The sequence below is a fragment of the Homo sapiens genome, chromosome 1, assembly GCF_000001405.40.
Source record: "Homo sapiens chromosome 1, GRCh38.p14 Primary Assembly".
Classification (NCBI taxonomy): Eukaryota; Metazoa; Chordata; class Mammalia; order Primates; family Hominidae; genus Homo; species Homo sapiens.
In genome coordinates, this window is record NC_000001.11 from 25265388 (window position 1) to 25292861 (window position 27474).

General features: G+C 47.7%; 2 protein-coding genes and 1 long non-coding RNA gene across 15 annotated transcripts in view, besides 4 other annotated features; 1 reads left to right on the plus strand and 2 right to left on the minus strand.

The window, feature by feature from the left end:
* Nucleotides 1–99: part of a chromosome breakpoint, noted in NCBI's record as "breakpoint region for unequal crossing-over between the upstream and downstream Rhesus boxes to result in a single-hybrid Rhesus box with a deletion of the RHD gene", that runs on past the window's edge. NCBI's record gives the evidence for it as "EXISTENCE:nucleotide sequencing assay evidence [ECO:0000219][PMID:10845894, PMID:15752150]".
* Nucleotides 1–660: part of a sequence comparison, noted in NCBI's record as "sequence_comparison; region almost identical to the corresponding region of the downstream Rhesus box", that runs on past the window's edge. NCBI's record gives the evidence for it as "EXISTENCE:sequence similarity evidence [ECO:0000044][PMID:10845894, PMID:15752150]".
* Nucleotides 1–2638: part of a meiotic recombination region, noted in NCBI's record as "upstream Rhesus box that can recombine with the homologous downstream Rhesus box", that runs on past the window's edge. NCBI's record gives the evidence for it as "EXISTENCE:nucleotide sequencing assay evidence [ECO:0000219][PMID:10845894, PMID:15752150]".
* Nucleotides 1–27474, minus strand: part of RSRP1 (arginine and serine rich protein 1) — a 96006-nt gene that overhangs the window by 23139 nt on the left and 45393 nt on the right. Inside the window, exon 1 of one of the 5 annotated variants that reach the window (NR_135777.2) lies at nucleotides 2353–2538. The exons of the other annotated variants lie outside the window; for them this stretch is intronic. The gene's annotated coding sequence lies outside the window, so the exon portion shown is untranslated. Of the gene's footprint in view, nucleotides 1–2352; nucleotides 2539–27474 lie in introns of those variants that run through there. 5 annotated transcript variants of the gene reach the window in all.
* Nucleotides 1347–1864: an enhancer, noted in NCBI's record as "H3K27ac hESC enhancer chr1:25593225-25593742 (GRCh37/hg19 assembly coordinates)". NCBI's record gives its function as "activates a minimal SCP1, AML or CMV promoter by ChIP-STARR-seq in naive H9 embryonic stem cells {active_cell/tissue: H9 hESC(naive)}" and the evidence as "EXISTENCE:reporter gene assay evidence [ECO:0000049][PMID:30033119]".
* Nucleotides 4072–9237, minus strand: LOC105376882 (uncharacterized). The gene is made up of 2 exons (XR_947099.3): nucleotides 9105–9237; nucleotides 4072–4745 (listed from the first exon to the last, which is right to left on the minus strand). It is a non-coding gene; the product is annotated as an uncharacterized LOC105376882 (long non-coding RNA).
* The window catches only part of RHD (Rh blood group D antigen), a 57960-nt gene continuing 37584 nt past the window's right edge, over nucleotides 7099–27474 (plus strand). For 5 of the 9 annotated variants that reach the window (NM_001282872.1, NM_001282870.1, NM_001282868.1 and 2 more), the window contains 3 exon segments: nucleotides 7099–7308; nucleotides 19186–19372; nucleotides 25254–25404. In NM_001282872.1, coding sequence (NP_001269801.1) covers nucleotides 7161–7308; nucleotides 19186–19372; nucleotides 25254–25404 — 486 coding nt within the window. In that variant the 5' untranslated portion in view covers nucleotides 7099–7160. 9 annotated transcript variants of the gene reach the window in all.

Genomic DNA, 27474 nt, shown 5'->3' on the forward strand with positions numbered 1-27474 from the left:
AAGTGATAGCCTGGAGGTTTGTGTGTGCACATGCATGTGTATGTGTTTTACGATAGTAGGCCCAACAGATACTGTAATCCACACTTGTTTTTTTTTTTTGAGACAGAGTCTCACCTGTTGCCTAGACTAGAATGCAGTGGCACAATCTTGGCTCACTACAACCTCCACCTCCCAGGTTCAAACAATCCTTGTGCTTCAGCCTCCCGAGTAGTTGGGATTACAGGTGTGTGCCACCGTGCCCAGCTATATTTTTTGTATTTTTAGCAGAGATGGGATTTTGCCACATTGGCCAGGCTGGTCTTGAACTCCTGGCCTCAAGCAATCCTCCCACCTTAGCCTCCCAAAGTGCTGAGCCACCACACCTGGCCGCAACTGATTTTTAATCATGAAATGACACATACATTTAAAAAACCCAATACCTATAATATTCCTGGCTAGTACTCTTCACATCTATATCATCAAAAACAAAGAAAGTATGTGAAACTGACACAGCCAAGGGGAGACTAAGGAGACATAACAATTAACTGTAATGTGGTATTCTGGAGGGGATCCTGGAACAGAAAAAGACATTAGGCAAAAAACTAAAGAAATCTGAATAAAATGTGGATGTCAGTTAATAATAATGTATCATATTAGTCCAGTAATTGTAACAAATATACCACAATAATGAAAGCCATTAATTATAGGGAAAATGGAGGGGTTAATATGGGTGGCTGGCTTTTGCTATTTCTAGCAGCTCCATTTTATCTGCAAAAGACAAACATTCATTAAGTCCCAAAAAGGTAAAGAATGACAAATTAAGCATGTATCTTATTAGTAAGAGTAATATAAAGATGCTCACTCCTATTTATAAATATTTGACAATCATGTTAAGGCCACAAAAGAGAAAAAAGGGTAGGGGCAAAAAACGCAAAGAGAAAGGAGTTAGTATCTTTTCTCCCGCACTCATTAGCTATTAAAAGAGGATGTTTGTTTAAAGCTGCTCAGAGCTGGTAAACTAATGTTAAGTCACTAACGGGAATTTAAAAGGTTTCATTAAGAACTGCCTGCACTAGATTCCTCCACCCTGAGACATTAAACAATCACGATAAACCTCCTGAGTGGTAAGAACTTGTCCATTTAAAAACAGGCTATAGATTGTATCATGCAGTTTTATCTACTAATCGGCTAATATCCCGCCAAAAACAAAAAACCCCAAAGGGATGAAAGTTTCATCCATCAAAGGAAACAACAGTCACCTTGGTTCCCATCTCACTCATATACTGCCGCCGTACATGTCAATCAGATGAACCTGTGCGTATCTCTTAATGACAATTGACCCACATTTTTGACTGAAGTGAAAGGGGGTTCTGCTCCGCGACCACTTCCTGGATCTCCCCCTCCACCCTCTGTGTTCTTTCGGGTGCACCATCGGGTCAAAGCCGCAGCAACGCCGTCTCTGTGTGATCGCATGTGCCCTTCTGCACACGACCTTCCCCCGAGAGTGACCAGCTACCGGACAGGCACCAAGGAGGGCTACCGAGCACCTCCCGGACCGGCGGCTGCAGGATCGCGAGCGCCTCCGCTAGGGAGACTGCACGTTGCGCCTGTGCTTCCTGCGGTGGCGCCTTCTGCAAGGAGACCTCGACCCTGCTCCCTCTCCGGGGCTGGATCTGACTCCTTGACGGTGATTCCAGACGCGAGACCCAAACTGACGGCTTCTAGAAGAGGGGCGAGCCCGGCCGCAAGTCTTTCACGTAGCTAAGTCATCGTTGCTTCCGGCTTCTTACCGTTCTCCCCTTTGTAAACGGTTACCTCCCGAAAACCCAGGCTCTCCTCCAACAGTGGTTCTCAAGCGAGGCGATCTTCCCCGGGAGGGGATATTTGGCAAAGTCTGGGGGCATTTTTGGTTCACTGGGGCTGCTACTTGCATCCACTGGGTAGAGGCGGGGGATGCAGCTACACAACCTGCGAAGCACGGGACAGCACCCTCCCCAACCCAGACAGAATTAGCCGGCCCAAAACCTCAGTAGTGCCCAGGCTGAGAAACCCTGCCTTAAACAAACAACAAAGAAAAGCCAAGTCCCATAAGTGGGTCACCGCGCCGAGACTGGGGTCCACGGGACACCCCAGCCACGCCAAGCCGGGAAGTCCCCGCCTCCTGGAGCTGAACCCGCCCCTCTCCCAGAGGTGGAGCTGCGGGGGGCGGGAACAGGCACGGAGAAAATAAACAAGACTAAAAAGTCCTGAGTAGCGCTGTGTGGCCGCAAACCTGAACCCACCTTTTGCACCACGCGGGACCCGGCACGCTTCCTGCCACCCACCCCTGAGAGGGCTGCGCGGCCGACCCCAGTACTAGAAAACACTCGTCACCTCAATCAAGACGGGTACGAAGGCCAACGGACGCCTTCCTTTAGAACGCTCAGCACACAGAGCAACTTCTCACGCCTACTCTCAAATGGCGTACTCCAAACTAGCACTCCCGACGTCCAGCTGTGAACCCAGAGCGGCGGAAAGCCCCTGAACCCAGCGCCCGGGCATGCGCAGACGCGTTGTTGTGGTGGGCGTGGCTCCCTCCGGACCCGGCGCCCCGCCCTCCGCCCCGTGTCCGCATGCGCGACTGAGCCGCGGGGGTGGTACTGCTGCATCCGGGTGTCTGAAGATCCGATGAAATAACATATGCAAAATGATTGGGTCCGTGATTGGCATTCCAGAAATGGTAGCTGTTATTCAGCCAACAAATATTTATTGAGCACCTACTATGGACTTCCCTGGTGCTGAGGATACAACAGCAACCACAGCAGTCAAAAGTCCCTGTCTTCATGTTGCTCAGATTCTCATAGGGGAAAGCAAATAATGAACAAATACACGGCCGGGCGCAGTGGCTCACGCCTGTAATCCCAGTACTTTGCGAGGCCAAGGTGGGCAAGTCACCTGAGGTCAGGAGTTCGAGACCAGACTAGCCAACGTGGTGAAACCCTGTCACTACTAAAAATACAAAAATTAGCGCGGTGTGGTGGCTCATGCCTGTAGTCCCAGCTACTTGGGAGGCTGAGGAAGGAGAATCGCTTGAACCTAAAAGGCAGAAGTTGCAATGAGCCAAGATCGTGCCACTGCATTCCAGCCTGGGTGACAGAGTACTCCGTCTAAAAAAAAAACCTAAATACACAAGTAAAAATATAGACCTCGTCAGATGCTAGTAAGTGCTGTGAAGGAAACTAAAAGGGGAACACAAGGAACCCTTGTCAAGGGGAGAAGAAAGGGGAGTTGATGCTGTCCTTTTAAATAGGGCAGTCAGAGGCCGGGCACAGTGGTTCACACCTATAATCCCAGCACTTTGGGAGGTTGAGGTGGGTGGATCACTTGAGGTCAGGAGTTCAAGACCAGCCTGGCCAACCTGGTGAAATCCTGTCTCTACTAAAAAAACAAAAACTAGCCGGGTGTGGTATCACGCGCCTATAATCCCAGCTACTCGGGAGGCTGAGGCGGGAGAATCACTTGAACCTGGGAGGTGGAGGTTGCAGTGAGCCGAGATTGTGCCATTGCAGTCCAGCCTAGGCAACAAGAGCAAAACTTCATCTCAAAAAAAAAAAAAAAAATAGGGCAGTCAGGGAAAACTTTCCTGAGAAGGGGATGGTGGAGGATCCAGGGAGGTGAGGTGGGGAGCAAGCCAGTACAGTTGTTCCTTGACTTTCGATGGGGTTATGTCCTGATAAAGCCATGGTAAGTAGGAAATATTGTAAGTCAAAAATGCATTTAATACATCTAACCTACGGAACATCATAGCTTAGTCTCACCTACCTTAAACATGCTTAGAACACTTACATTAGCCTACAGTTGGGCAAAATCCTCTAACACAAAGCCTATTTTATGATAAAGTATTGAATATCTCATGTAATGTACTGAGTACTGTACGGAAAGTGAAAGACGGAGTGGTGGGATGGGAACTCTAAGCGCGGCTTCCACTGCATGTGTGTTGCTTTCGCGCCATCATAAAGTTGAAAAGCGTTAAGTCAAACCATCGTACGTCGGAGGCCATCTGTATCTGGTAGGAGGAGTGTTTCAGACAGAGAGAACAGCAGGTGCACAGAGTGCTTTTTTCCCAGCATTTTATTATGAAAAATTTCAAACATCTACCAAAAAAAGTTGAAAGACTTGTACAGTGAAAAGCCATACATCTCACAGCTAGAATCAACAATTAACATTTTACTGTATTTGGTTTTTGACTTATCTATCCTAGATCCCTTGTGCTTTCTGTAGCAGGTGACCTGCCTTGAAGATTTAAAGACAGAATATCAGGAAATGTAGTCAGAAAATGGGGCCTTTTATAAGAGTCAGAGGGGAAGAGCAAAACCTCTGCTTTTGACAAATCTGTTGGGAGAGGCCAACTGCAGGGATACCTCCCTTTTTTAATGAAAGCATTTCTGTTCTGCGAGGAGCGGGATCCTCTTGTCAAGCAGTCAGTCCCTGCTGCTTCCTTACTGGGGCAGGATCAGGACGCACAGGGATTTGGAGTGCCTTGGAACCAACCACCACCCACGCCGTTTGCCAGCTGGTAAACATGCCCATCAGGTCCGGGGGTTGGCATTGCCTGGACATCTTTAGTGTTCATCTTGCTGACATCTGGTGCCCTCGGGCAGGTAGGTGCAGTTGGCTGCCTGGTTTACAGAGCTTGTACTGGGCCCAGGTTAGCAGAGGTCACATCCATTTATCCCACTGCGCAGAGGAGTTCCTTCTCAGGAAACCCAGTTTATAAGAAGTACTGACTGCCAGAAATAGAGCAGAAATGAGAACCAGGAGGCAATTGTGAGAGGAATGGAGACTTCTGACCTCTGGGGATTGGGGTACCCTCCCCCTTAATTGCTGTTGGGGTAGCAGAGGGCTTAGAAGCCCATGTTCCTAGACTTTTAGAATTGGAAGAAGACTTAGAAGTAATCTAGGCTGGGGGTCCCCAACCCCCAGGCTGTGGCCCGTTAGGAACCTGACCGCACAGCATGAGGGATAGGCCAGCGAGCACTACCGCCTGAGCTCCGCCTCCTGTCAGATCAGCAGCGGCATTAGATTCTCATAGGGGCACAAACCCTATTGGGAACCGCGCATGAGAGGGATCTAGGTTGCGTGCTCCTTAGGAGAATCTAACTAATGCCTGATGATCTGAGGTGGAACAGTTTCATCCCCAAACCATCCCTCCAACCTCACCCCGGTCCATGGAAAAATTGTCTTTTACAAAACCCGTCCCTGGTGCCAAAAAGCTTGGGGACCCCTGATCTAGGCTACAGTTAAGTGGTCAAACACCCAGGTCCTGAAGTTAGGCTGCCTGGGTTTAAATCCCAGCTCTACTGCTTACTAGCCCTGTGACCTTGAGCAAGTCACTTAGTTTTTCTGTGCCTCAGTTCACTCATTTGTAATAAATCCTAATAGTACCCATCCCAGTGTCATGAACTAAGTTCATATATGTAAAGTACTTAGAATGGTGCCTAGCAAGTACTTAATAACAGTTAGCTCTGAAAATGTATAAAGCAAAATTAACCAATGTTTTAGTGGTTTGCAGCCAACTTTTTTCTATGCGTGTGCTAACATATTATTTTATAAGAGTGGGAATATATTGTACATGCTGTTATATAACTTGCTTTTTCACTAAACAGTCTATCCTCTGTGTCAGTTTTGATAAAAGCGTTTTCCTCTTGCTTTTCCTGCATATGTTCAGAACCATCATATTGGTAGCAAGTTTCATGTCCTGTAGTTTTCTTAACCAACCCCCTGCTAGTGGACATTTAGGTTAGTCTCAGTTTTTTCCTTCTGTAAATAAAGCTGCACTGAGCAAGAAGTGACTGATGCCAAGTGACTAGATGACCTTAGGTATGACCTCTCTGGGTCTTGGTTTCTTGGTCTAAAAACAAAATGACAGGATTCGACTGGGTGATTAAAATCTCCTCTGATCTACATAGGAATTGTTTTCAAGACATTTCTGCATTCCTCTAGTGACAGGGTGCTCACTACCTCATGAGTATTTCAGTGGACAACTGTAATGGTCAATAAAGTATCCACTTTCCACCTCCCTGCAGCTCCTGGCCCTGGCTTTATTCTCTGGGGCTCCACACATTCAGTTTACACTCAGTGGCCAGTGGCTGGGACCATTGTAGAAAATAAGGAAACTCCAATTCCTTCCTTCTTTTCTTCCTCTTTCATCTCTTCCTCCCTCTCTACATCCCTCTCTCTCTTCCTTCCTTCCTCGACACTTACCATGTACCAGACCTTCTGCCAGGCACATGGATGGGAGCACAGGGGAAGTTGGCTGCAGGGTTAGAACTAAGTCCCAAGCCCCCTAAAGCTCATGCCAGGGGACTGGACTGTCCAGTACTGAGGGATGGGGATGCTGAGGCTGGTGGCCTTCCTCAAATGCACTGTAGTGCCCCAGGCAGAGTCCTGGGCTGCCCTGTGAGGAGGTGACCAGAGGTAGAGCAACTTCACCCTAAGGCTGGATCAGGATCCCCTCCAGGTTTTTACTAGAGCCAAACCCACATCTCCTTTCTCTTCTGCCACCCCCCCTTAAAATGCTTAGAAACACATAGATTTAAATACAAATTCAAATGTAAGTAATTTCAACTGTGTAACTATGAGGAGTCAGTTCTACGTGGGTCCTATCTGTATCCTCCCCAGGGCTCAGCTCCATTCTTTGCTTTCATTCATTCTCATTCAATACATTGTTGTTAAGAGCTCACTGGGTGCCCTCTCTGTCATGTAGTAAGGTTTTAAAAAGAAAGCCTCTTCTGAGCTTCAGTTTCCTTATTCATAAAATAGGAGTATTGATCCATTCCTTGCTTTTCTTACAAGGATATGCTGAAGATGACTGAAGTACAGAGTAAAGAAGGATTATGTTTGGGTGTCAAAGGAATAGAATGCCCTCTTTCAAACTGAGCACAGCAGGAACCTGTAACAGGAACACAGCAACTTGTTGAATGAATGACAATATTGGAAAACATACATTTCCTCCCCTCCCCATCATAGTCCCTCTGCTTCCGTGTTAACTCCATAGAGAGGCCAGCACAACCAGCCTTGCAGCCTGAGATAAGGCCTTTGGCGGGTGTCTCCCCTATCGCTCCCTCAAGCCCTCAAGTAGGTGTTGGAGAGAGGGGTGATGCCTGGTGCTGGTGGAACCCCTGCACAGAGACGGACACAGGATGAGCTCTAAGTACCCGCGGTCTGTCCGGCGCTGCCTGCCCCTCTGGGCCCTAACACTGGAAGCAGCTCTCATTCTCCTCTTCTATTTTTTTACCCACTATGACGCTTCCTTAGAGGATCAAAAGGGGCTCGTGGCATCCTATCAAGGTGAGAGTTCATTGGAAAAGTGGTCACAGGAGCAAATAGCAGGGGCAGGGGCGGGGGAGGCCTGTGGTTCTCCAGGGGCACAGATGTTCCTTTCTACAAAATCCCAAGGAAAAAGATTCCCCCATCTTCTTCCGTAGATTGCACCGAAATTCAGCCAACAATGTAAGCTTTCCTTTAGAAGCAGCCTGGGCATGCCCTCTTCTGTGAAGCCTGCCTTGATTTTTCAGCACAGTGAGAGGCATCCTCTTTGGTGTTCCTCAAATTCCCTCTACCAAATGGTCTTCATAATTCTCTGCTTCTCTGCTTCCCCTTCTCTCTCCTCAGTGGCAAGGAATTTTTTTATTTTTATAGATTTAGGGGATACAAGTGCAGCTATCTTATGCAAGCAATTTCATGTTGTTGGGTTTTTGGTTTTTGTTTCCTTTTTGTGGCCTCTCGCTCATTTCTTATTTCTTTTTGAGGCAGGGTCTCACTCTGTTGCCCAGGCTGAAGTGCAGTGGCATGATCATGGTTCACTGCAGCCTTGACCTCCTAGTCTCAAGCAATCTTCCCACCTCAGCCTCCCAAGAAGCTGGGACCACAGGAGGGCACCACCATGCCTGGCTAATTTTTTTTTTTTTTTTTTTTGGTAGAGATGTGGGTCTCCCTGTGTTTCCCAGACTGGTCTCAAACTCCTGGACACAAGCGATCCTCCAGCCTCAGTCTCCCAAAGTGCTGGAATTACAGGCGTGAAGCACTGTGCCCAGCTCTCTTGCTCATATCTATACTAGTTTTCTTTTGGAAGCTTCAGCCTGTTGCTACCCCCCACCCCCACCCCCACCGACCCCAGCTTTCTTCTCACTTAGGGGCTGGGAAGTCTGCATGCTGTCTATAAATCCAGAACCAGAAGGTATGGCTGAAGGGGAGGGTAGGATGATGGTTATTTTATATTCAGCTAAAAATATTCCCAGACTGTGATGAGACAACTGTAAATAAGACAGATGTCCACAATGGTGTGACTTTGCTTTTTTAAAAATATTGAAATGAGTTTCAGGCATCTCAGTGGGCTGATAGGTTGTTGATAATAGACAGGGCCTCCTTGAAGAATGTCCCTGAGACAAAGTTGAAGCTTGAGCCTGGTTGAGTCCTTGCTTGTTCCTAGGTTGATATGAACGGCTAGTTAACTGGAAGCAAAGAGAAGTCATCCTGGGGGCCATGGCAGTGACAAGTAGGACTTAGGGAGGGAAGCCCTTATACCATTTAAGGTGCTGGCCCAGAGAGGAGCCTTCAGTGACAGACAAACAAGAGCTGGCACAATTTTAATTCACTTCAATTTACTCTAATTCATTTCAATCCAATACAATTCAATGCATTCCATTCATTCAACCATGTATGACATCCAATGTGGGATCCAGACTCATGATGATTAGAGCTGATATTTATGAGCACTTACTATGTACCAGGCACTATTCTACATGCTTTACATTGAACCCTCACAATAACCCAATGAGGTGGGTACTATTATGATCTTCGTTTTTCATATGAGGAAACTAGGCATATGGATGTTGAGTAATTTGCCCACGGTCGCTCAGCTAGCAATAGCACAGCGTATTTAAATTTAGCCACCCTGGATTTAGTTTCCTTACACTTAACCATTATGCATCATGGCCCCATTTTACAGTGGGCTTGAGTCTTTGTCATATAACCCAGTAGGTTAGCAGCCACTATTCCAACCCTGTAGATTGACTCTAGGGTCCATGTTCTTTACCCCTGCACCGTGCTACTAACGTAGGTACAAAATGTCCTCAGAAACTCACTTTATACGGAAGCTCAGAGGAGGGTCCACAACCCAGGCAGGGGAGACGATGGTGTCAGGGGAGGGAGGTGACTGCCCAGCCAGGTCTTGAAGGCTCAGTAGGAATTACCTGTGGGACAAAGGAGGGTCATCCAAGTGAGGGCACAGTGGGTGCCATGGCGTGCACACACAATAGAGCAGACTGAGCCTGGGCTTAACATTGCATTGCCCTGGAGCCTAAAAGGGGAAACAAAGGGCCGGGCGACGTGGCTCACGCCTGTAATCCCGGCACATTGGGAGGCCAAGGCTGGAGAATCACCTGAGGTTAGGAGTTCGAGACCAGCCTGGCCAACATGGCAAAACCGCATCTCTACTAAAATTATAAAAACTGGCTGGGTGTGGTGGCACACGTCTATAATCCGAGCTACTTGGGAGGCCATTACACTCCAGCCTGGGCGCCAGAGTGAGACTTCATCTCAAAAAACCAAACAACAAAAACAACAACAAGAACAACAAAAAAACAAAGAGGAGAGCAGGGACTGGGTGTGGTGACTCATGCCTGTAATCCCAAACACTTTGGGAGACCAAGGCAGGCAGATCACCTGAGGTCAGGAGTTCGAGACCAGCCTGGCCAACATGGTAAAACCCTGTCTCTACTAAAAATACAAAAATTAGCCGGATGTGGTGGCACGTGCCTGTAGTCCCAGCTGCTTGGGAAGCTGAGGGAGGAGAATTGCTTGAACCCAGGAGGCAGAGGTTGCTGAGCTGAGAACATGCCACTGCACTCCACCCTGGGTGACAGAGTGGGACTCTGTCTGAAAAAAATAATAGTAATAAATAAAAATAAAGAGGGAAGCAGCGGGTGGCAGACTCACTGGGCTGCATACGAAGTTTGGCTTCAGTCTGAGGTCCGAATAGTAAACAGCAGCGAGACAAGTTTGGGTTTGGGTCATGGAGGAAGCCATGCCAGGGCTGGTGTTGGGCACAGGGAAAGGGGCATGGCTTGAGACACCAGACCAGCGTGGAGGCTGTAGTGTAGTATTGACCTGAGGACTTCAACATTCTGATGGTGTACACACGATTTTTTGAGCATGTACCATGGTTATATATTACACTTTAAGTATTACTTTAAGTATTACTACATTAATATATTTTGTATGTTACAATAAATACATACAAATTAGGAAAATTGAAAGAGATCAAAATGAAATATATAATATTTTCAAATTACTAATCATAATGGTGTCAATCTCCAGGCAGGGTCCATTGCTACAGTTGACGATAGTGGATGAAAATTCACTCCTCAGAGTCTTCTTGATAATTTGAAATTGTCTTGATTGACTTGTCAGATCTGATTAGATCAACATGTTTTAAATCTCGAATGTGACTGACAGCTTGTACGAGGAGAAGTTTCACTCTGCCTTTTCCCTTTTGTTCACTTGACTGCCATTATTTCTATGCTTCCAATCTGTGTTTTTCTGCACGAGTTGGTTAAGCCATTACTTCATTTTGTGAAAGTTTGTTGAGTTAAACTTAGGTAACTTAATCTGTCAATCCACTTAATTGAATTCAGTCCTGGTAAACTATAATAGATTATTCAAACCTGCCAATTCTAAAAAGACATTTTGAGACAATCAGGAAATCTGAATATAGCATGAATATCTTACGATATACAAGGATTATTGTTAATTTTGTTAGGTATGATAAAAGCATGGTGGGTTGTTTTTGTTTTTGTTTTTTAAGTCTCCATCTGTTAGAGAGGCACATTGAAATGGCATGATATCTGGGGTTTGCTTTTATGCCAGAAAAAAGAAAAAGTACAGAAGGATTATAGAAACAAGATTGGTCTCATGTGACAATCATCAGAGTTTGGAGATGGGCACGTAGGGTCATCGTGCTGTTCTCTCTGTTTTCGTATATGCTTTAAAAGTTCTGTAATAGTTAATTAAAAAAAAAAAAAAACACCCTGGCTGAGCATTTAGGGAGGCCAAGTGGGGAGGATCGCTTAAACCAAGGAGTTCAAGACGAGCCTAGGAAACATAGGGAGACCCCCCCCCATCTCTAAAAAAAAAAAAAAAAAAAAAAACTTTAAAATTTAACCCAGTGTGGTGGCACATGCCTATAGTCCCAGCTACTCAGTAGGCTGAGGTGAGAGGCTTGCTTGAGCCTGGGAGCTTGAGGCTGCAGTGGGACGGGATTGTACCACTTCACTCCAGCATGGGCGACAGAGCAAGACCCTGTCTCAAAAAAAATAAAAATATTTGAGGTGAAGCGAGGCTGTAATAACAAATTTAAAAATATAAATAAAACATAAAGGCTGGGTGTAGTGGCTCACGCCTGTAATCCCAGCACTTTGGGAGGCCAAAGCAGGCAGATCACGAGGTCTGGAGATGGAGACCATCCTGGCTAACACGATGAAACCCCATCTCTACCAAAAATACAAAAAAATTAGCCGGGTGTGGTGGCGGGTGCCTGTAGTCCCAGCTACTTGGGAGGCTGAGGCAGGAGAATGGCGTGAACCCAGGAGGCGGAGCTTTCAGTGAGCTGAGATTACGCCACTGCACTCCAGCCTGGGCAACAGAGCGAGACTCCGTCTAAAAAAAAATGAAAATAAAAATAAATGAAACATAAAACCCTGCCATTAGTTGCAATATGAAGAATATAGAGAAATGCATATCAAATCCTTCTCATTGGACCAATATTCCCTTAGGGCACCTTCCAAAGCTAGGAGACTCAAGGCTGTATGACATCCTGAGCAAGTGAGGGGTGGCTTCTGGGTGAATCTGAATATTAAATATTTGCAGAATTGAAAACTTCACAAAGTACCTTTAGAGATAGAATAGCCTAGATCCATGTTTCTCAAAGTGTGGTCCCCAGACCTGCTGCCTCAGCATCTCCTGGAAATTTAGTAGAAATGCAGATTCTCAGGCCCTAGGCCAGACCTACTGATCAGAAGCTCTGGGCCTGGGGCCCAGCAGTCTGTGTTTTCACAAGCCCTCTTGGTGATTCTTCTGTGCATGAAAGTTCGAGAATTCCTGGAGCTAGACTGATTCAAATCTTGCCTCTGTATCTTAGAGACCTTGGGCAGATTAGTCAACCTCTTTCTGCCTCTGTTTCTACTTCTGTCAGAGGATGATAGTACTTGTTTCATTAAGTTGTTGAAAGGATAAATGAATTGACACACATAAAGAGTATTAGCTTTTATTATCAAAAGCTTTTTTTTTGAGACAGAGTTTTGCTCTTATTGCCCAGGGGAGTGCAGTGGTGCGATCTTGGCTCACCGCAACCTCCACCTCCCAGGTTCAAGTAATTCTCCTGCCTCAGCCTCCCGAGTAGCTGGGATTACAGGCATGCGCCACCACGCCCGGCTAATTTTGTATTTTTAGTAGAGATGGGGTTTCTCCATGTTGGTGAGGCTGGTCTCGAACTCCCAACCTCAGGTGATGCACCCGCCTTGGCCTCCCAAAGTGCTGGGATTACAGGCGTGAGCCACCGCGCCTGGCCCAAAAGCTTTAATTTCTTAATTTTTTAAATAAAATAAATAAAACTAGAATTGCTTGTTTTCTTCCAGCTACCCTGGTGATTGTATTGAGCATTTTCTGGGGTGTGTGTTCTTTGCTGTAATGACTACTGGTCTGGATGACCTGTGATGAGACCAGATGGGCAGGGGCAGTGGAGGAGATTCTAGAGATATTTAGGAGATAAGTCAGCTGTACTTGATGAAAAGAGTGGGGAGTTAAGGCTGGCTGCAGATGTATGATTTGGCATAGAGAGGTGCCAGTTCCTGAGATGAGAGACAGAAGGGGAGGGACAGGTTGTGAGGATGAATGAACAATGATATGTTCATTCTGGGCTTGGAGTTAAGGGGCCTATGATATGCTTAGGGGAAGCAGAGAGTATCAATTACCTATTGCTGCATAACAGCCACCCCAAACTTAGTGGCTTAAAATAGTAACCTTTTAATTTACTCATGATCATGATTCTGTGGTGCAACAACTGGGCTGGGTTCAGCTGGGCAGTTCTTCTGTTAGTTTCACCCAGGGTCATTCATGCATCTGCAGTTTGGGGTGGGATGGCCTCAGATGACCTCATTCACGTGTTTGGCAGTTGGTGATTCACTGGGGGCCATTACTGTAACAATCGCCTACCAGGCAGAGCTTCCCTAAGGCTTCCAAACTAGGAGACTATCCTGGGTCCTGTGCTGTGGATACCACTCAGTCCCCCATCCCCACCCCATATTCCTCAAAGGCAGAGAGAGGGGCTACTAGAAGACAGAGGAGTTTTCCCAGTGACATGTAAACACTCCAAACCCTGGCACCTTCCACACTGCAGCTTTGGTCTGCCCCTTTGGGAAATCTCTGTTTTTCTTCCCAGGCTGCTGGAGGGGTGAGAGTCGCCGGTAGAGTAGAGGCTGTGGGCGAGGAGGTGGCGGCCTCCTGAGGCTGCAGTGGTCTTTCCAGGCAGCAGTGGGAGCACAGGGTGGAGGTCAACCCTAGAGCCTGGGAGAGTGAAGCTGGGTGTGACTTCAGAGCTGTTGGTGCTGAAGTTTCTGCAGGCCAGAAGGAGGGGCAAGAGTGGGAGGGGGCGCAGATCCAGAATCACGGAGGCAGCTGACCGGAGGAGGCAGCTGCCCAAGGGGATGGACTCAGAAGGCCAAAGTGCTGTTATCCAAACGAACTCTTTGCAAGTGGTCTCTTTGCAACAGGCCTGGGGGAGAGCAGTCTTGCCTAAAGTCACACCGCTAATCAGCGGCCGGCACGGGGTAACAGTTACTAACACTCACTACGTACCCAATGCTGGGCGAAGTGACTTGCATGAGCCAGCGAGCTCAATGCTCATGGCAATCCTCTGAGCAGCTGGCATTGTTTCATCTCAATTTTACAGCTCAGGAAGCTGGGACACAGAGGAAGAGCCAGGCTCTGAACACTGACAACCTGATTGAGAGACCCACACTGTTCATCACCGTTACGCTATATATGCTGTATAGAAAGGCAGGATGGCATAATGGTTAAACCTAGGTAGGTAGGGTTTGAATCCTCCTGCTACCATTTACTAGCTCTGTGACTTGGACTAGTTATAGCACCTCTCTGTGCCTCCCTTTCCCCATCTCTAAAATGGGGATAATAAATCGTACCTCCTACCTGAGGCTGTTGTGGGCTAAGTCTGTAAGGCACGTAGAACAGTGCCTGGAACGTGGGGTACTGTCTATCTGTGTGCCTGCTGTTACAACAATGGTGAGTATTGCCTTATCTCTCGCTGCTGAACTACCAGGTTAGACTTCTTTCTGCAAGTCATGAGGCTTTCATAAACTTTTCCTGAAGGCTTTCCGTAGAATGTACAATTCCCCTCTGGGTCCAGGCATGGGCGCCCGGGTAGCACATCCACTTCTTATCACCCCTGAACACCTTAGAGCCCATCAGCTTATCAAACCAGCAGCTGATGTGAGTGCAGAGCAGACTGTGAGAGGTGGAGGCTGATACCAGTGAGGATGCTCCAAGCTGGGACCCAGCCCTGAAGCGGGAGCCCAGATAATGGATGGGTGGAAATGGGCCTGGAGCCCAGGAGAAGTGGGAGGATGAGGGGGCAGGGGGAGGAGAAGCCTGAAATCAAATGTTATTTCCTGACCAGTTTGGGGTGCATGAGCTCTGTCAACAGCTCATGGAAACTGCTGCCCTAATTTCATCTTGTTGGCTGAGGCACAATTCCTCTCTCAGGGACAGTGTAGAGCCTTGGGGAGGAAGGCCCTGAGCGCGTATACCTGGAATCAGGGAATCGGGATCAGGGGCAGCAGCTGTGCCCAATAAAGCCCCCACCCAGGATCCTCTGACTTCCTCATCTCTTTTTTTTTTTTTTTGAGCTGCAGTCTCACTCTGTCATCCAGGCTGGAGTACAGTGGTGCGATCTCGGCTCACTGCAACCTCAGCCTTCTGGGTTCAAGCGATTCTCCTGCCTCAGCCTCCTGAGTAGCTGGGATTACAGGCATGCGCCACCATGCCAGGCTAATTTTTGTATTTTTAGTAGAGACGGGGTTTCACCATGTTGGCCAGGCTGGTCTCAAACTCCTGACTTCAAGTGATCTGCCCACCTCAGCCTCCCAAAGTGCTAGGATTACAGACATAAGCCACTGTGCCTGGCCTTTTTTTTTTTTTTTTTTTTGTAAACAGGGTCTCCCTCTGTCACCCAGGCTGCTGGAGTGTAGTGGTGTGACCGCAGCTCACTGCAGCCTTAACCTTCTAGGCACAAGCCATCCTCCTACCTCACCCTCCTGAGTAGCTGGGACTACAGGCACTCGCCACCACGCCCAAGTAATTTTGTATTTTTTGTAGAGACAAGGTCTTGCTATGTTGCCTAGGCTGGTCTTGAACTCCTCAGCTCAAGCAATCCTCCCTCCTTGGCCTCCCAAAGTGCTGGGATTGTGCTGGGATTACAGGTGTGAGCCACCATACCTGGTCTGACTTCCTAATCTTTAGGGCCCCAACTCTGCCCTTATCCAGGCAACTCTCCTCTCCCCATCTTCCACTAACTTCTTTGGAATATTCCAGAGCTGTAAAAGCCTTAGAGAGTATCAAGTCCAACTCCTATGTGTTACAGACAGGGAAACTGAGGCCTAAAGAGGGTAATGGACTTGCCTAAGATCACTTAGTGAGGTGAGAGAAGAAAGAGCTAGAGACAGCCTAGCCTGTGCAAGGACATAGTTCCAGGCATTCAGAGCTGGGCTCTGCTGCCGGCATGTTTGGGGCCTGGTAGTTAGTTCACTGCTGAACTACCAGGTTAGATTTTCTTTCTCCAAGTTGTGGAGCTTTCATAAACTTTTCCTGAAGGTCTTCCTTACAATGTACAATTCTCCTCTGGGCCCGGTCATGAGCGCCCCTCACAGGCTCTCTCTGGTCCCCTTCTGTAAAATGAGAGGAAAATGGAAGAATTGCTCTACTCATGGAATCTTCAATAAGTCTGGGCCCTATGCATATAGCATTGCTACAAAATGGCAGATGCACTTTAACAATCGTGTTTAATAAAAGGTTGGATTTGCATATCTGAAGTGGGGCATGCAGTCTCCAACTGAACACAAGCCTCACTGCTCCCGCATGTGCACTGCACCTTCATATACATATTTCCTGCTTGGCTCCTGAGGGAATTTGAGTAATCCCAAGAGGAACCCCTGTAGAAAATGTCCCCTGGCCACACACCCCCATTCCTAAGGATGCAAGCAGGAGATAGAAACATTCCCTGCACCTCCCTCCTTGTTGTCAGAAGAAGTGCAAAGAGTTGAATCCTTCCTAATGCCCACTTCTCACCCACGCCCCAAATCCCCAGGTCCCATGGAGGTCCTTGGGGGCCTCCTATATCCTGGTGGTGTCAGGTTGATTTGGAAATGTCAGTGTCCTCCCTTGTCCTCTCTGGCAGACCCTGGGTATGTGTATGTTTCAATGGAAGTGAATTTAAATGTACTTTATAAATCAAAGACTTTTTCTGAGACTTTGGAGAGTTCCAGTAATGAGAGCTTCTCATTGTTATCAAGGCCAGGGCTGGAGACCAGTGGCAGGTGAGTTCCTATTGCTGTGATTGTCATGATGATGTTGATGAACAGTCACTATTTATTGAGCGTTCTCCATGTGCCAGTCACTGTACTAAACATTATTTCCTTTGGATTTCCCAGAAACCTCTCAGGTGGGTCTAATTACCCTTATTCAGCTGATAAGGAAAGTAAGCAACTTACAAGACCACAGGGCTATGAAGTGGAAACACATAAATTGATATTTCATTTTATTTATTTATTTATTTTGAGACAGAGTCTCACTGTGTCGCCCAGGCTGGAGTGCAGTGGTGCGGTCTCAGCTCACTGCAACCTCTGCCTCCCGGGTTCAAGCGATTCTCCTGCCTGCCTCCCGAGTAGCTGGGATTACAGGTGCCCACCACCACATCCAGCTAATTTTTTTGTAATTTTAGTAGAGACGGGGTTTCACCATGTTGGCCAGGCTAGTCTCGAACTGCTGACTTCATGATCTGCCCACCTCATCCTCCTAAATTGGTATCTTTATATGTCCAAAAGAGTCAACTGGTGGCAATTTAGTGAGGTTTAATCTAATAGGAAATGATAGAGCTGGGATCGAACAGAGCCATGTGAACTCAAAACCTATGCTTCCCCTTCCACCTTTTTGAAAAACATTGTCTAGGCTGGGCACGATGGCTCATGCCTGTAATCCCAGCACTTTGGGAGACGGAGGTGGGTGGATTACATGAGGTCAGGAGTTCGAGACCAGCTTGGCCAAAAATTAGCCAGGCGTGGTGGCGCGCGCCTGTGGTTCCCACTGAAGCACAGGAGGCTGAAGCACAAGAATCACTTGAACCCGGGAGGTGGAGGTTGCAGCGAGCCGAGATCGCACCACTGCACTCCAACCTGGGCAACAGAGAGACTCTGTCTCGAAAAAAAAAAATTGTCTACATGCTGGTTGCAGAAAATTTAAACACTAAAACTAAAAAAGTAAAACACCTCCCAAACTTAGAGACAATATTAATGACGGAAAAAAAATTCTTCAAGATCTCTCTCTCTCCAGTCATTTATTCATGTGCGAAAACAGTTGGTGATTATTGATAAAATAGCTTTTAGAGTTTGGAGCAATTATGTGCATTACATATACCATTTGATTCTGGCAACCTAATGAAGGAGTATGATCATTTCCCCTATTTAACAGACAAGAACAAGAAGAGGGAGGGCAGATGGTGTGGTAGTCTAAGGCACAGGCTCCAGCAGATTATCTAGGTGTAAATCTTGGCTGTAGGCCAGGCCCTGTGGCTCATGTCTGTAATCCCATCACTTTGGGAAACCGAGGTGGGCAGATCACTTGAGGTCAGGAGTTCGAGACCAGCTTGGCCAACATAGCGAAACCCCTTCTCTATTAAAAATACAAAAATTAGCCGGGCACGGTGGCAGGCACCTGTAATCCCAGCTACTTGGGAGGCTGAGGCAGGAGAATCACTTGAACCCAGGAGGCAGAGGTTGCAGTGAGCCAAGATCTTGCCACTGTACTCCAGCCTGGGTGACGAGTGAAACTCTATCTCGATATTAAAAAAAAAAATCTTAGCTCTACCCACCGGGGCAAGTTACGTAACGCCTCTGTGCCTTGGTTTTCATATCTGTAAAATGGTGACAGTAACAGCACCCACGTCAAAGTGTGGTTGTGAGAACGAAACAAGATAGTCTATGTAAAGTGATTAAAACAGCGTAGGCACATGGTAAACGCTTAGGAAATGTAGGCTGTTATAAAGCTCAGAGATGTTAAGTAACTAGATCAAGATCACACAGTTAGAGGGTGCCAGAGTCCTGATTTGAACCCAAGTTTGTCTCGTTCTGGAGCTCAAGCTGCTAACCCTTTTTCAAAACTGGAATTAAACCAAAGTGCTCACCCTCCGCTTTGCTGGGCCCCTCCCTGCCCTCAGGTGCGTCTCTTCCACTCACCTGCCACAGCAGCCTCTGCTCAGGGTCTGAGACCGGGAAAGGTGAGGGCTACCCAGGTGGCCCTGATGTTTTCTGCCAGCCAGCTCACCAGGTCCCTCGCAGCAGGCGGCAAAGGGAGGGAGGTTTGCTGTGAAGATTATGTGGTTCCCAACAACAAGAGCGCTGGGCCTATCTCTGCCCTCTCTTTTCTGTGTGTCCTGGGACAAGTCACTTGGCTTCTGTGGCTTCATTTTCTCATGTGCCCAGCCAGGGGGTTGGCCCTCATATGCAATAACAGCAGCAATGACCTTTACTGAGTGTCCATGTGCGTCAAGCACGTGTGCTTTACACTTGTTCTTATTATTAGGTTTAATAATAGAATAATTGCCACATTTACTGAGCACTCATTATGGGCCAGGCCCTGCCCTAAGTGCTTAATTAGCTTTAGCTCCTCTAATCCTTATCTTATCCCCACACGGCATGTTATGTTATCCCCATTATTCAGTTGAGAACATTGAGGCTCAAAGAGGCAAAGTAACTTGACCAAATACTTGTAAACGATCTTGCATGCCCCTTCCAGCTGCCATTTAGTAAGACTCTAATTTCATACCACCCTAAATCTCGTCTGCTTCCCCCTCGTCCTTCTCGCCATCTCCCCACCGAGCAGTTGGCCAAGATCTGACCGTGATGGCGGCCATTGGCTTGGGCTTCCTCACCTCGAGTTTCCGGAGACACAGCTGGAGCAGTGTGGCCTTCAACCTCTTCATGCTGGCGCTTGGTGTGCAGTGGGCAATCCTGCTGGACGGCTTCCTGAGCCAGTTCCCTTCTGGGAAGGTGGTCATCACACTGTTCAGGTATTGGGATGGTGGCTGGATCACTTCTGGGTCATAGAGGGAATGGACCCCGAAAGGACAGGTTCCAGAAGATCTGGGATATTGCCCCCTCTCTGTCTAGCACCAGTGCTGTGCAATATTTAGGACATCCTTATACTAAAAGATTATTCATTGTTTAAAATTCAAATTAACTGGGCATCCTGTATTTTACTGGACAGCCCTACTCCGTGTATCACAAGGAATCCAGGCCTACATTCCTCCTGCATCCTTTCTTTCCTGTTATTGTCGATTATGATTTTGTAAAGTTACATAATCAATATAAGTTTATGGAAAACGTAAGAAGGAAACACGTTAGACAGAGAGAAATAGACATGCCACACCTAGAGAGACATTCTATTTTTTTTTTTTTTTTTGAGACGGAGTTTCACTTTTGTTGCCCAGGCTGGAGTGCAATGGCGCTATCTCGGCACACCACAACCTCAGCCTTCTGGGTTCAAGCGATTCTCCTGCCTCAGCCGCCTGAGTAGCTGGGATTACAGGCATGTGCCACCGCGCCTGGCTGATTTTGTATTTTTAGTAGAGATAGGGTTTCTCCGTGTTGGTCAGGCTAGTCTCAAACTCCTGACCTCAGGTGATCCGCCCGCCTCGGCCTCCCAAAGTGCTGGGATTACAGACATGAGCCACCGCGTCCAGCCTGAGAGACATTCTCTTGAAAAGAAAGGACTTTCAGCCCCCTAATGCTGCTAGACAATAAATAGCCATGCCTTTATTTTCATTAAATTACCTGTGCTTTGTTTACATGCATTTGTGTGAAATGCTAAGAACCATCACAACTAATGTATGGTGCCAGAAGTCAGAATAGTTGTTACCTGGGCAGGAGGTGGATATTGATTAGGAAGGAACACAAAATAACCGCATGGGGTGCAGAAAATGTTCTCTATGTTCACCTGGGTGATGATTACACATCAAGCTATACACGTTTTAAAAGGGCATTGGCACTTAATAGGAGGAAGTAGGCTAAATTTTTTCCTGAAACATTGTTTTGTTTTGTTCAAACCTCTGAATCCCTGTGCTGCCCAGATGATGGTAAACGTCATCCTAGGCATCTTAGGGACCTCTCAAGGCCATTCCAGCCTCCCCTTCTAAGACCCTGCTAAACCTCTGGGCACTGCTGTTAAACATTTCTCTATGAGCCAGGAACTGTGCTGAGCACTCCACAAATATTATTTTGTTTAACTCTTCCGGGTAGGGATCTAACCTGGTATACAGGTAAGGAAGTGGAAGCTCAGAGAGGGCAAGGCACTTGCCTAGGGCCACACAGCTAAGTGGTGGAGATGGCTCCAACTTTTTATTATAACCTTTTCCACATGCTCCAGAGTGCTCAGAACATGAAACACAGTCTAGCCAGCTCCCGATTGGCCCTGGAGGGAAAAAACTTTATATATTTTTCTTTTTTAAAAGGTTTAGAGGCTGGGCATGGTGGTTCACACCTGTAATCCCAGTACTTTTGGGAACCGAGGTGGGCAGATCACTTGAGCCCAGAAGTTTAAGACCAGCCTGACTAACACAGTGAGATCCTGTCTCTGCAGAAAATAGAAAAATCAGCTAGGCGTGGTGGTGTGCACCCACAGTCCCAGCTACTTGGGAGGCTGAGGCAGGAGGATCACCTGAACCCAGTGAGGTTGAGGCTGAGTGAGCCATGATCGTGCCACTTCACTCCAGCCTGGACAACAGAGTGAGACCCTGTCTCAAAAAACAGTTTTAGGGGCCGGGCGCAGTGGTTCATGCCTGTAATCCCAGCACTTTGGGAGGCCAAGGCGGGGGGATCATGAGGTCAGGAGATCGAGACCATCCTGGCTAACTCGGAGAAACCCTGTCTCTACTAAAAATACAAAAAATTAGCCGGGCGTGGTGGTGGGCGCCTGTAGTCCCAGCCACTCGGGAGGCTGAGGCAGGAGAATGGCGTGAACCCGGGAGGCGGAGTTTGCAGTGAACCGAGATGGTGCCACTGCACTCCAGCCTGGGTGACAGAGCGAGACTCCGTCTCAAAAAAAAAAAACAAAAACAGTTTTAGGCCAGGCGCGGTGGTTCATGCCTGTAATCCTAGTACTTTAGGAGGCCTAGCAGGTGGATTACCTGAGGTCAGGAGTCCGAGACCAACCTGAGCAACATGGTGAAATCCTGTCTCTACTAAAAACACAAAAATTAGCTGGGTGTGGCGGCAGGCACCTGTAATCCCAGCTACTTGGGAGGCTGAGGCAGGCGAATCACTTGAACCCGGGAGGCGGAGGCTATAGTGAGCCGAGATCGCACCATTGCACTGTAGCCTGGGCGACAGAGTGAGGCTCTGTCTCAAAAACAAAACAAAACAAAAACAGTCTATGAGTTAATTCCCACCAGAATTCAATACACACACGCACACATGCACGCATACACACACTGTGTCCACCTGGGAAGTGACAAAGGGCACCCTGGGGGATTTCAAATGGTGGTGGCCCTGGTTTGGTGTTGCTGCCTTAGCTTAAGGTCACACCAGCCTTCAGCCTCCTGCCCCACAGTCTAGGGCTGCTCCCCTCATCTGATGTCCACAGGGACCTGTTTGTTCTTGACTCAATCTAGAAAGACGAGAAGGGAGAGAAGTCACTCGCAGCCTGAGTGAACTCCCCTGCCCCACCCCTGACTGCTTGGATCCCCCTAGGGGTGACCCCTGCTGAAACTGGCTCCTTCCTGACCGGTTCCCGTCAGGGCTGTGCTGATGGGTGGTGCCCAGGCCTGCCCCTGGGGACGGGGTACTCTCCCTTGGCAACACTCCAGCTTGTGCCACTTGACTTGGGACTGATTTGGTTCTGTTTTGAGTCCCTTCAGGGGAGGGGCCTATCTTATTCAACGTTGTTGTTTGTTTTCCTCACATACTGATAACTTAGCAAATGGCTATTGGAGCAAAAATGAAAATAAACGGAACTCTGAAGTGGGATGTTTTAAAATTTTATTTATTTTTTTAGAGACAGGGTCTTGCTCTGTTGCCCAGTCTGGAGTGCAGTGGTACAATCATAGCTCATTGCAGCCTGTGCCTCCTGGGCTCAAGTGATCCTCCCACCTCAGCCTCCTGAGTTAAATTTTTTTACAGGCGCCTGCTACCATGCCCTGCTAATTTTTGTATTTTTAGTAGACAAGGGGTTTCACCAGGTGGGTCAGGTTGGTCTGGAACTCCCGACCTCAAGTGATCCACCTGCCTAGGCCTCCCAAAGTACTGGGATTACAGGCGTGAGCCACTGTGTCCAGCCTAAAACTGTTTTTGAGACAGGGTCTCACTCTGTTGTCCAGGCTGGAGTGAAGTGGCATGTTCATGGCTCACTCAGCCTCAACCTCACTGGGTTCAGGTGATCCTCCTGCCTCAGCCTCCCAAGTAGCTGGGACTGTGGGTGCACACCACCACGCCTAGCTGATTTTTCTATTTTCTGCAGAGACAGGACCTCACTGTGTTGCTCAGGCTGGTCTCAAACTCCTGGGCTCAAGTGATCTGCCCACCTCGGCTCTGAAAAGTACTGGAATTACAGCCTCCTGAGTAGCTGAGACCACAGGCACACACCACCACACCTAGCTTTTTTTTTTTTTGCTTTTTGTAGAGATGGAGTCTCACTATGTTGCCCAGGCTGGTCTCAAACTCCAGGCCTTAAGCAATCCTCCCACCTCAGCCTCCCAAAGTGCGAAGATTACAGGTGTGAGCCACCATTCCTGGCCTTAAAAGTGTGATATTTTTAATGTATTTTGAAATCTGCAGGACTCTCCCTAGAAGATAATAGCAATAACCAACTCCTTTATTGTGCTTGACGTATATCAACTCACTTTGCCCTTACCGTGGCTCCAGAGGCATTGGGTCCACCTTATAAATGGAGGCACCAAGGCACAGAGTGATTAAATAAATTGCCCAGGATCACACAGCCAGAAAGTGTCTGAGTCAAGATTCCAGCCCAGGCAGCCTAGACCTGAGAGCACGCTCCTAACCACTGCACATCACTGTCTTAGCACCTCCTCAGCACAAACTGGCCCTTGAGGAATGAAATACCGCCGCCGGCACACACGCTCCTGAGTTAAGCCTTTGTCAATGAAATGAACACCCACTTAAAAGGAATAACCTGTCCAGGCACGATGGAACATTGAGTAACCCCTTATTCTAAATTCCTGGTCCCTGTAAGACTCCTTCCCCATGCCCTTGCCCTTTTCTGACCTTCCCCTAAAGTCCTTGAGGCTTAAGCGGGCATAGTCTGCAGCAAACACTGGGGAAGCTGAGTCCAGACTTCAGAGCACAGGCTTTGGATCTAGGCCAGCTGGATTTGAACCTCACATTTGTGATCAGCTGGCATGACTGTTTCCAAAAAGTCCATTTTAATCCTCTACGTGACCCTCTGTAAAATGGGATACTGAATGGTGAGCTAGCACGATTTTACAGAGAGTGAATTTTTTTTGTGTGTGTGTGAGGCAGTCTTACTCTGTTGCCCAGGCTGGAGTGCAGTGGTGCAGTCTCGGCCCACTGAAACCTCTGCCTCCCGGGTTCAAGCGACTGCCATGCCTCAGCCTCGAGAGTGGCTGGGATTACAAGCATGCACCACCATGCCCGGGTAATTTTTGTATTTTTAGTTGAGACAGAGTTTCACCATGTTGGCCAGGCCACTCTTGAACCCCTGGCCTCAAGTGATCCACCTGCCTTGGCCTCCCAAAGTGCTGGGAGTACAGGCATGAGCCACTGCACCCAGCCTTATAGGGTTAAAATTTAAAAGAGGTGATGCTGTTACAAGCCTGTTTTACAAAATGCTCTTATAATAAATCATTATCATCACTGTTGCTGTGGTTGTAGCATCATCATCATTAACTCCCAGAGGGAGGAGGGAGTCTCAGAGCAAGCTGCTCAGGGGAGACTGGATGTCCATGGATTGTCCAGCTCAGTACCACTTCCTCCAGGAAGTCCTCCCTGATAAGTCCAGTCAGCATCACCCTCTCCTTCCAATGAACCCCACTAGCCTTGTGATATCACAGATATTCTTAGTTGACAGGCTCATGGTGTAGCCTGTCTAGATCATAAGTACATTTTTTTTTTTTTTGGATCATAAGTATCTTCAAGACCAAAATAATTTTCTACTCCTGAGCATGCTCATTGGTCAAAGGAAGGAAGGAATCATAATAGCGTTAATAAGGCTAGCGTCTTTTCAGAAGTTGGTTCTTTGTGCCAGTCTTGGTGCTAGACACACCGATAGGAAGAATACTCCTTCACATCCCCAGGACACCAACATGGGATACGTTTGATCATCATTCTTAATTTGCAGAAGGAGAAATAGGCTCAGTGAGATGAAATAGCCACTCCAGTGGCAAGGCTGGGACTGGAAGCCGGGCTTGTCCTGATTCCAAATCCAGTTTCTTTCCACTGCCACGGAGACGGAGAGAAGGGACAGTGGCCCCAGATGGGGATGGGGTGACTGGATGTGGGCAGGCCTGCGGGGGAAGAGTGCCCTCTGTTGAGCATCCGAATGATGGCAGCAGAAAAGAAGACTGGGCAGAATCCCAGTTATCAGATCCCCTGAGGGAACAGTCACCCCGATCACCCTCAGTCAGATGAGTGTGTGTAGATCAATGCCTCATAGATGAAGGCACTGAGGCACAGAGTGGTTAAGTCATCTGCCAGACCACATGGCTCAGGGTGCAGAGGCCACCTTAACGGGAGAAGAGATGGTCACTCCACTCTGCAGCATCAGCGCCCAGGTGGGTAGAAATCTTGTCTTCTATTCCCACAGAAAGTAGGTGCCCAACAGTGTTTGTTGAAAGAATGAATGAATGAATGAATGAATGAATGAATGAGTGAGAGGCATCCTTCCTTCTCAGTCGTCCTGGCTCTCCCTCTCTCCCCCAGTATTCGGCTGGCCACCATGAGTGCTTTGTCGGTGCTGATCTCAGTGGATGCTGTCTTGGGGAAGGTCAACTTGGCGCAGTTGGTGGTGATGGTGCTGGTGGAGGTGACAGCTTTAGGCAACCTGAGGATGGTCATCAGTAATATCTTCAACGTGAGTCATGGTGCTGGGAGGAGGGACCTGGGAGAAAAGGGCCAAAAGCTCCATTTGGTGGGGTTTCCAGGGTTTTGAAAAATAAAGACAACCTGTAATCCCAGCTACTTGGGAGGTTGAGGAGGGAAGATCACTTGAGGCCAGGAGTTTGAGACCAGCCTGGGCATCATAGCAAGATCCTCATCTCTAAAAAGTAATTTTTTCTAAATTATCCAGTTGTGGTGGCATGCACCTGTAGTCTCAGTTACTCAGGAGGCTGAGGTGTGAGTTGGAAGGATTGTTTGAGCCCAGGAGTTAGGGACCGAGCTGGGCAACATAGCAAGACCTCATCTCTAAATAAATAGGTAGGTGGATAGACAGATAGATAGATAGACAGACAGACAGACAGACAGACAGGCTGGGTACAGTGGCTCACACCTGTAATCCCAGCACTTTGGGAGGCCAAGGAGGGCAGATCACCTGAGGTCAGGAGTTCAAGACCAGCCTGGTCAACATGGGGGAACCTCATCTCTACTAAAAATACAAAATTTAGCTGGGCATGGTGGCAGGCGCCTGTAATCCCAGCTACTCAGGAGGCTGAGGCAAGAGAATCGCTTGAACCCGAGAGGTGGAGGTTGCAGTGAACCGAGATCGCGCCATTGCACTGCAGCCTGGGGGACAAGAGCAAGACTTCATCTCAAATTTAAAATAAAGAAAAAAGAAAAGAAAAGATTGATAGATAGATAGATATCCAAATGAGTTTACAAAAATGTGGTCTGTGCAAATGTTTAAACACAACAAACCAATGCCTTTAACTACTACAGTATAATCCTGTAGGATTGTGCTATTCATGATATAATTATGGTTATATAAAAGTAATTAATTCTCAGAGCCTCACCAGCAGTGGGTCCAGCAAGTTTGTACAGCCAGCATCTTCTTTCAGTCAGTGCGTGTCAGTAACTGCATATGTCCTCTCATTGGGAGAGCCTGTCGAAAGTCTAAATTTGAAGGCAGCTGTGAAGGTAAGGCCAATCCAAATGGCTCTCCCAGATCCTCTGCTGTAACCCTGACCCTGAGTGAGGACATAGCCAACCTTCCCATCTCATAGGTGAGAAAGCTGATGCCTGGAGAGGGGAAGGGACTGCCCAAGATCACATAGCAAGATAGTGGCAGAACCCAAGCGAGAACCCACAGTTCCAGCCTGGCTTAGAAGAAAGTGCACTGGACTTGGAGTCAAAGGCTGGGGTTTGCATCCCAGCTCTGCCATAAATCCCTGTGTGACTCTGGGCAATTTAACCTCTTAGAGCTTTAGTTTCTTCATCTGTAATATGAGGGTAGCAGTACTACCACATAGGGTTTTGAGGGAGTAATTGAATTAATCACATGAGATGATGCATGTTTACAAAAAAAAGCATGAAGCCCCTTTACTGTGCCTCAGTGTCCCAAAGGACTTTGGATTTTACTCTGAGAAATACAGGGAGAACTAGGGAGTGTTGGGCAGAGGAGAGCCATGATCTGACTTATGTTTTAAGATACTCTGGCTTCTGGGTTCAGAAAAGACTGAAGGGGCAAGAGAGGAAGCAGGTGGAGACCAGAGCGGCAGTGATTGCCATCATCCAGACTCAGACTAGGACAATAGCTGTGAGAGTGATGGGAAGTGGTTGGATCCTGACTGTATTTTAATAGCAGAATTGACAGGATTTGCTGATAGACTGCACGTGGGGTGGGAGAGGGTCAAGATGACTTCAAGGTTCTCATCTGGCACAACTCAGCGGCTGCTGGTGCCATTTACTGAGATGGGGAATGTTGGGGTGGGATAGATCTGGGAGGGAAAACCCAGAGTTCAGTGTCGAATGTGGTAGCGTTAGGGTTAAGGTTGGGGGAGGGGGGGTAGAGATGTGTATGAAACATCCCAGTGGAGACACTGAATGGAGATGTACAAGTCTGAAGCTTAGTGGAAAGGTTAGGGCTAGGGATATAAATTTGGGAGTTGTTACAATACAGATGGTGTTTAAAGCCATGAGACCCAAGGAGATCACTCAGGAGTGAGGATAAAGAGAGATGGGAAGAAGTCTGAGGACTGAGTCCTAG